At 36.1% G+C, this 10,091-nt stretch overlaps 1 pseudogene; it reads right to left on the bottom strand.

The window, feature by feature from the left end:
• Positions 8,081 to 9,885, bottom strand: HAUS6P1 (HAUS augmin like complex subunit 6 pseudogene 1; annotated as a pseudogene).

Here is a 10,091-nt window from a genome sequence, read left to right as displayed (position 1 = left end):
GAAAAAAGATGAATCAATGCCATGTAATTAACCAAAATTGCATTGCAGATATCTTCTGGATAGCTTGTTTGCAAGCCTCATTATATACATTGAGATAAGGATTTTTATTGGAGTTTATGATATATGTTATTTTATCAGTAATTTTCTGATTCTCTATTTAAGAAAGATCTTGGATTGGCCAGAGAGATATAAGTTTGAACAAATAATATTGGATGTACTTGTCTGGACTTATGCCCAAGGACAATTTATGTCCAGGGAGATGGACATAAGCTGAGGTATGACTGTTTTTGCATTACATACAGTATATTGGCAAATGTTTAACAATCAACATATGCAAATGGAAAAAGCATATACATATATGTAACAGATATATAGCATATATATAAATAGATATACTTGTTTATTATAATTATTACTAATATAAAAGATATGTAACAACACTCAATTTACAAATAACAATAAAATATTTTTGATAACTTAATTTAGCCATCTGATTCTCACAGAATGTTTAATTGATTTTTGCCAAGCTTTTCTTGTGTTTGTAGCTAACTTACGGCTGAAATTAACACATGACTATAGTTCCAACATAAATATTGGTTGATTTTTTTCACTTGCATAAGAAAGATGAACATAATAAAGACATACACATGTTGGAGCTTTGCTCATCAATTGTTGTTGAGAGTAACTTTATTGAACTATATATGATATTACTTTTCTAGTACTAAATAATTTTCAGCATTTTTGTGCTATTCATAATGTAATGGCTGCAGACACATACCACACTTTTAAGCTTAATCTGCATTATCTTTAGGTAGAAAACTTCAAAAATGTATAGGCAGAATTTCATTTCTTCATCACTTCCTAAGTATAGTTAAGGTAACAATACATCAAGCCCTGATGTGGAGAGTTTTCAGATTTCTGGGTGTGACTCCTCCTACTGTGGCTAATGTGAAGCTGGACAACATGACACACAGTGGCACCTTACTGTGCATGGTTTCTCCCACACAGGTTCTTTGGAGGGATCTAACCACAGGGTGAAGAGGATAGTATAAAACATAAAATAACTGGAAAAGGAAGTTTAACTATGTATTAACTTGTTTTTGTAATATATTTATTTTTCTTTAATCTTTAAAAATCGCCATGTTTTAAACCAGCTCATAATGTTTCTGAAAATGTAACAGTTGTTTCTGTGAGCCCAGGTGAGTTAGCTACCACACACCATCGATTCCATACTCGTCCTGCCATCTCAGCTCAATTAACCGGAGCCTGCACCTTCCAGTGGTGTGTTCGCTAAGTGCTGGCAGTGCGGTCAGTGTGATTACTTTGGTAAAGTAATTCACAGCAACAAGAAAATGAGTCCTACTTATTTACTTGTATTCATAGGAAACTTATTAACCCAAGGTTTGAATAGAAGCCATTGGGGAATAATTTTGAATAGTGATTTTCTTTAGCCCAGGATAAATTTATACCAATAAACTCTCCTTAAAAAAAATCTCACAGCTAGCTTGCCTATATAAAGAAAAACACAGAACAGGCATTATAGCCAAACAAATAATCAACTCTCTCCCCACAAAGGCAAGTCTCCTCTCAATAAACACAAAATCACAAACATGAAACGCACTGTTACACCATGTTGAGTAAACATGTAGAGTTAAACACGAGGAAAAGCATGTAAGGGAATTATGAGTATAAAACTAGAGGAGAATTTCAAATATTCCCATATTCCATGTAAACATTTTGTGTAAACTCTTTCTGTCCTCTGCTTTCCTCTTCTCAATTAGGTGTTATGAATGTGAAGAACTGGACAATAATTTGTCAGTTAAATTGCAAGTCAAATCACAATAAACTAACATGATTACAATTATATTTTAATTTAATTATACAATTGAGGTTCCTTAACGTTTGTTTCATTAACTGAGTGAACTCAATTTCAGTGAGAGCAGATTTATTGATAATGAGGACTGATTTGCCATCATGTCTATATGTGAGTTAAGTACTGCATGTAATGTATGTCTTCCGGACTCTCCTCAACACTTCTTTGAATATAACCAATAAAACAACACACTATTTTCATATATGCAAGCATATTCATTGTGAGAAAACTCTAATTAGGATGGTAAGATAGCTTTGGAGTTTTAGTGCTTCCCTTGTCTGAGATAATGAGTAAATTTGAACACTCACCTTTAACTTACTGACCCATCGAGGTTTCTACCAAACTTAGATTGTACCAAGGCATGTACATTTTTAAAGTTTTTTACCTAAAGCGACATTGTTGCTAGCGGTGTTTATGTTTTAATTTGACTTATCTTTTGATTTTTCTCTTTAAGGTAGGATAATTCTCCTTCTCTATCACTAAATTCACAAATTAACCTTAACTGCCATGAGAGTATTATTTCTGCCTTAAAGCAGTTTCCTTATTAGAGATGTGTATTTTAGATAGATTTTACAAATTGCATGGACTCCACATACTTTATTTTTGTGATAATAAAATTAAATGTTATTAGGAAGAACATCTTTCCTACTATATTCTTACTCTATCTTTTAATGCGGTATTTCTTATAAGGCATATCTTTCAAATATTTAAATTGGATTATTAATTTATCCTTATAGCTCAGGGGCAGAGTTTAAATTTATATGCAAATGTCACCACTTCTAAACGTCTGAATTCATCTAGTTTGTTGAAGTGTGACTTTGCATCTCAGTCACAAGTGTGCATATAATCCCCTGGAAGAGAAATGACTTTCTCCAGATATCTTTAGTATAATAACTGAACAGGAATATTTGAATACTTAGAAATGTGTAAGATCTATTTTATAATTCCACAAATATTTCATACGAGAAAACCTTGCAATATGCATTATCATTCACTTTCAAGTTGATATCATAAATATCAAGATTAAGCCAAATAAATATCTCCTTGAACTTATGGTCAAGCACTAATAAAATTAAAATTACAAAATATGCATAAAATAACATGTAAACAAAAAGAGTATTTTGACATAATCCCTTGCTGAAAAAAATATATGTACAAGTTGATTCAGTCTTATTTTGAAATAGCACCAAAAATAAAAATCGTGCACCCTATGTTAACCTACTTTTTAACAACAATTATTTATACAAACTTATCATTCATATAGTGCTTAATAGTCTTTTTGGGTCTTCAGAAAGATTGAGAGCAGTTTAATGCATCTCCTTTTCTAACCTTAATATGATCACAGTGTGTTATTAAATCATCCCTAATGGTTCTGTTTTTCAAGCGAAGTGCATCCAGAATTTTTTTTATAATAAATTTTTCCTGCAGGTCAAACTGCCTCAACCACTGGGCTATGGAATCATTCCAGGGCAAGGACCAGGTCTTGTTTATCGTCAGCCTGTTTCTCACAACTCATACCATCACCTACATTTATAGTAGACACTCAATAAATGTTTGTGGAATGAAAGATTTCCAAATCAAAATTAGTACATCACTTAGTCCCAATCATGTATTGGGAAAGGCACTAGAAATAAACATAATTAAATACAATCTTTACAACTAGAGGGATTTCAGACACGGACAGAGCATGTTTAGAAACAAAGTAATAAAAGAAATCGTGAAATAGTATACAAGTCCCAGTGGAGTTCAAAGAAGGGAAAGAAACGTCAATCTCAGAAAGCTGAAAATGACTTGAAAGATAAAAAGTAAGGTAGACTCTGCAATAGGATCATGTGGGACCTGAAGTGGAAGAATTGTAATATTCAATAACCTGGAGCCATGGAATAGGCAGCAGTTTTCCATGAAATGCAAGTAATTGAGTATTTGTAATGACCCCAGGACAAGGGAAGTTTATGTCGGTGTAGGCCTGAGTGTGGCATGGAAACTCATGGCTGGTCAGGCATTCTCACAGCACGCACCTTATCACCTTTCTGTGTCTCCACGGCTGTGAAATGCCACTTCTGTTTTAAACTTACATTTGTATATATACTTGCTTTATCTTTATGTTTGTATGTATTTGGCCCTAGGTTTTGGATTTTGCATTACACTTAATCAATTCATTGTCTATCCTTATGCTATTATACACATATTAATTCTTCTAGATTTATAATTAATTGGATTTGATTGTATGGTGAGACTTCTTTGTTATTTTCTGTTTTCAATGATTTGCTGAGTGAAGAGGTGTGGGAATGAATTTGGTTTGCAGAGGATGGGGAGAGATGGAACAACTGCTATAGGGTATAGAGAGAGTTTCTACATAAGCTTACATAACAATTTTGCTGGCCAGGATTGAATGAGACCGAATTGAGACCCTAGCCATGAATCTGAAAATGCCTTACCCTTAAGCCATGTGGCTATTTCCCTCAGCCCTCAGAATTCCAGATGTAGAACTGAAAAGGCAAATGGTAACATGTATCCAACCATGAGTTGTGGAAGTTTTGAATGTTAGCAAGAAAGTGGCTGCATCCTTGGGCCATTGGCTTAAAGCTTCTATGAGTGTAAATAAATTCACAGTTGAGGTATTGTACTTGGTTAACAAAAGGAAACATCTGTATTTACAAAATAGAAAGACTAAGAGTAAGGCAGTGGAAAAGAGGAGAGATAATGCTAAGAGAAAGGAATATTTCAGAATTAGTTTTCAGTGTTAAAGACGTTCCTAGTAAGGAAAACATAAAAGTGTGGCCATGAAGGTCCATGAAAAAGTGAATTAAATATGTTAGTCTAGGAATTAAACAGGTCTAAAAAATCAGAGGTTAGAATGTTACAAGTTCTTTCTTCAAAGATGTTGAAACCCCACCCCGCCTCCGCCACCCCGCTGTAGTGAGAGATTTTATTCTGAAACATGGGACTGAGGTCCCTGTTTTGTTCTCTTTCTTTGTTTGTTAGGCAGGAAATGTGATAAGCAATGCATCCAGGAAATCCTAGATAAGAGAAGTGAGGGAGGAAAGAATTGGGATGAGAAGAATTGTGGCAGTTGCGGTTATCTCTGGAATTACCTGAGCTGTTTGCACAGCTTCATGCTGGATATGATGAAGATTCTGAAAAAGATTATTTGGATTGCTGAATACGTACTTAACAAAAGAATTCCATCTAGTTTGCTAGAGTCAATCATGATTACACAAGTAACATATAGTGAGGTTGTAATAATGACCTCCAATACTTAATGGTTAAGAAATCCTTGGCTTACTTTTTTTTCAAGGTATTATTACTTAGCTGCTATTTCTGTGTCATGTTTTCTTCACTCATGCCATTCTAAGCTGGGGTGATATCACCATGTATCTGGGCCCTGCTCTCCAACTCTCTGTATGTACTTAATCAAATAATTTATATGTTAGAAATGGATCAATTTTATTTTAAAGGGTCTTTAATTTCTTTCTTATATTCTGCCAAATCCTCACCAGTGGTTACTCAAAATTAAACTAAGATGCTCTTGGTGTGCTCCAGTCTCCAGTGACAGCACTTATGGGAGCATATCTGTCCCTCTCACTTCTGCTCTTGCTGTGCCATGGGGAGGCTGTATTTAGATTTTGTAAGTGCACACATAAGGCGGCACTGTGGTTTTTGGCAGCACTACCAAACACGCTCCGTGGCTTGGGAGTTTATTGTGCTGTTTTATCCCTACCAGCAATCATTCTGGCTGATACTGCACATATTTGGCACTCACTGAATTCCTGTGACTTTATTCCCATTTTGTTTATTTAATCTTCTCTGTGATATTGTGGTTGTGGGCCACAAAGTGTTAGAGGAGGAAGGAAAAGTGAGACCACTTTGCTTTGGCTGGAATATATCAGTTGAGGCTGGCAGAATTTCTGTGAGTAAAAACAAAATATGTTTATCTTTATTTTTATGACTTCACTAGCTTAGCAACTGGACAAATTTCATTCCAAATTCCTGTTGTAAAGCACTTTGCTGTTCATCAAGCAAACGTGAAGTACGTCTTCTGTGCACAACCCTCTTTTCTGGGTTTCCAAACTAAAAGCTCATGCTGCACCCAAGAGTTATATGGACTTTGGATTTTGCCTCGCAGGCTTGCTTACACTTTTTAAAAATTGGTGGTTTATTTATGAATACATAAGTGCACCCAGATAACTAGCTTGGAGCTTAGCCTTATGTCGGAAGACAGACTTATTTCAAGGGAAGAGCAGGGAATAATTTTTTCTGTAAATAAGTAAGCTGAAATGGTGTCTCATTTAATTCAATTTGTTCATGGATTTATTGGATGTTTATCTTTTTTGTGAACTGCTTCTTTTTAAACTAATTTAAAAATATTTTTGCAGAATTAAAATTTTAATATTTTTTGGCATTATGTTCATCGCAAATGTCATCATATTTTATCAAGATTTTAAGATGAATAATCAATTAAAGGACATTTTATAGGCTTTTGTCATTCAAAAATTTCAAATTAATTTTACAAGCCATTGAAATTAAAAATAGGGCATACTCAAAATGGATCAAAGACTTAAGAATGAAAACCATAAAATGCCTTCGTGTGTATACTCAGTAATAGGACTGCTAGTAGAATGGTATTTCTCTCTTTAGGTCTTTAAGAAATCTCCACACTGTCTTCCACAATGATTGAACTAATTTACACTCCCAAATGTGTATAAGCATTCCTATTTCTCCACAACCTTTCCAGGATCTGTTTTTTTATTTTTATTTTATTTTTTAACAGCCATTCTGACTCGTGTGAGATGATATCTCATTGTGGTTTTGATTTGGATTTCTCTGATGATGTTGTAGCAAAGACATGGAATCAACCTAAATGCCCATCAATGATAGACTGGGTAAAGAAAATGTGGTACATATACACCATGGAATACTATGCAACCATAAAAAACAATGAGATCATGTCCTTTGCAGTCATGGATGAAGCTGGAGGCCATTATCCTTAGCAAACTAATGCCAGAACAGAAAACCAAATACCACATGTTCTCACTTATAAGTTTGAGCTAAGTCAGAGGGCGGAGGCTGGGAAGAGACTGAGGATCAGAAAAAATAACTAATGGTTGCTAGGTGTAATAGTTGGGTGATGAAACAATCTATATAACAAATTCCCATCACACATGTTTTCCTATGTAACAAACCTGCACACCCTGCACATGTGCACTTGAACTCCAAATAAAAGTTTTAAAAAATTGAATGTGTCAATAAAAATTGAAAACTATAAACTCTTAGAGAAAAACATGAGGGGGAAACCTCATGGCATTAGATTTGGCAACAATTTCTGGGTTATGACATCAAACAAGAGCATAGGTACTTCAGGAATAAGGTATTGCTTTTGGTTTCCTGTTTTTCTAAATAGAGGCAATCATATGTCAGGGAACCAGCAGGGAGATTCTGCCAGCTGCTGAGTGTATGTACTTCAGTTATGCATTCTGGACCTGGGGAAGTAACCACAGGATGGGCCTGGAACCACGTGAAATGGATCTGACCTACATCTCCATGGATCGCTTGCTTCCATGAGCCCTACTTTCACTAGAAGGCCACAGGGTTGTTTTGTGTCTTTGGGAATTAGTGTTAGGCAGGGCCAGTAATCAGTAGATCCTAAAAAGTCTGATTATTTCGTTTCTTCTAATTCACAGTTATTCCGGTAAAAGACCATAGGACCCTTTAGAGAAGGCTGCAGAAAATAAGATGGACACTATACATTTTTAGCAGTATAGCAAAATTCATTTTCAAGATGACCCAACCTCCCTTTCATTCAAGGGGTTCTCAGCCTGTAAACTGGCTCAAATATGAGCATTTAATGAGGGGCCAAACTCTCTATTTGAAAATTCAACTTAGAATTATGTTCCCATGACCTGTAACTTTTTTGCTTAAACACATTGAGTATGAATTCAGTAGGCTTCCTATCTATTTAACTTTAGGGACAGCATGATCAGCTAGCTGACACCATAGGGTTCTACAAGTCAGATGTTTCTGATTGCTGCTTTGATTCTAAACTCTGTTATGGTAATCACCCATCTTATCTTTGGTAATTAAATGTCACCTCTGGCCCCTGCCACTCCAGGATTCAGTTACCCTTATTATATTTATGGATTCCAGTTCAGTGAATAGCAGTTCCCATTGCAATTTCTGACCTACAGGGCAAAGCAACCACGAAGATCCTGAAGTTTTCTGGAGTACGGGGAATCTGATTCCTTGTTAAGAAGGGGTTAGAACCCAGAGAGTCAATTAGTTCCTCTAATTTTATTTCTTTTCCTTCAGAGAGCTGTGGTGAATCAGATAAAACTGCTCTGGCAACCTCTTCTACCAGATGATCTTGCTCTTTTTGAAATGGATCACTTTTTTTAGCTGGTAAAGACCCTCCAAATGCACTACTCTCTGTATTCTTTGCAACATCTGATAATGGAGAATTTTCCACTTCAAATTCTGGTATTTTCTTAGAAATTGCTTCATTTTTTTCTTTGGGAGTTCCCATCTTTGTGTCCTTTTCAAGTAGTGAAACACTGTTTCTATCTGATGATGAAACTGACTGCGACAAGAAAGAGGCAGGGCTGTTGGCTAGATCATGTAGAGCTCCCAAGGTATCACTGTCTCCTCTGCAACCATTTTCTTGGTTATGTTGCTTATGTGTATCTGGAAATGAAGCAGGATACTGACAAAGAATACTCTTTGCATACACTTCTTCTGAGGCAGGATCAAACGAAAGGGGAGACATTGGTGGTAAAAGATCTACAGATGGAGTCCAACCTTTAATTAGACTGAAAGGAGACAAACCAAGAAATTCTTTCCACTTTTTATGCCATTCTCCTTGCTTTTCAACAACAGAATGTCTTATAGTTGTGAGATCATCTTTTATTCTATACCTCATATGTTTCAGATCTGACAATCTTTCCTTCTGAAATTTGGTCTCTTTTTCAAGGTAGTGAAGGTCTACCGTCAATCTTGCTTGATCAGCCTGACAACGTTCATATTTCATCACCTTCAAGACTTCATTTAATAACTGAATAACTGTTAAGAGGTTCAGTTTTCCAGCCTCATAAACATTTCCTTTGTGCAACTGAAACATTTGTTTCTCAATTTTGTCAAGTAAGAGCCTTGGAATATTAATAGCAACATTAGTTCCATCTAAAGCATATTGGTTAACAAGACTAAGGACCGAACTAACAACTTCTCTCTCTTTTTCCAAAAACATGAGCGTTTCATTCACTGAAGCCCACAAAGACCGAACCTTTTGAATTTTTTCTTCTATGTTACTGTGGTCATCATAGGGTTCCATTTTCTTTATTTGGTTTTCCAATCCTATACATTCAGATGTCAAGTTTCGTATCTGCTTAACTGATAATTTTTAGAATTGGATTTAATATATTCCATTGCAACAAATCTTGCAAAATGATACATCAGATGAATAAACTTAGGACCACCAGGAGAAAGAAATAGTGAACCAACAACTTGAGGAAAGCTACTTCCACATTCACCAGAAATCCTTTTTATCCATTCACAGCAATGTTTTCGGAATTCAGTATCACTTTTTTGGTCAAATGGGGGCCAACAAAATTTGAAAACTTCTTTGGCGAGTGACTGGTCCAGAAACTCCGAGGTGCGTGTGCGACACGATCTTTCCGCAGGCAATGGTTGCTGGGCCTGGCTCGAAGCCGAGCGCCTGCAGATACATCCAGAGATGCTCCTTCTCGAAAGCGGTGACCGAGGCCGAGCTCATCCTCGCGGTAGGCACGGTGGCTACAAAGAAAAAAAGCGCAAGCCCCGGGGACTCGGAGGGCCCTCAAGATCCCTCCCTACGGTCAGCCTGAGGTCGCGGTGGTCCTTCCATTGCCAACGCCTGCTCCTTTCACGCCCAGAGCCATTTCACCTCAAAGGGCCTTACAACCTCCGGGAAACTGAGTTTCTAACGGTACAGTGCGGCCACCACTGCCTCAGCGAAGCCACTACAAACCGAGACTCCCGCCCTTGGAAGAAATCTTACTTTGTTATTTTGTATCAAAAAATCTTCATATGATGCTGAATTCTACTAATATTTTATTAAGACTTTTTCCATCTATATTTATGAATTATATTAGTCCATAATTTTATACTTTGGACTGTCATTGTCTGATTTTGGCATCTGCCTAATACCAGTTTCATAATATGAATTTCTATGTGTTTTCTTCTATTTTCT

The sequence above is a fragment of the Homo sapiens genome, chromosome 7 (assembly GCF_000001405.40).
Source record: "Homo sapiens chromosome 7, GRCh38.p14 Primary Assembly".
NCBI lineage: Eukaryota > Metazoa > Chordata > Mammalia > Primates > Hominidae > Homo > Homo sapiens.
Note: the sequence above shows the minus strand (reverse complement) of the source record. Positions and strands in the feature narration are given on the sequence as shown.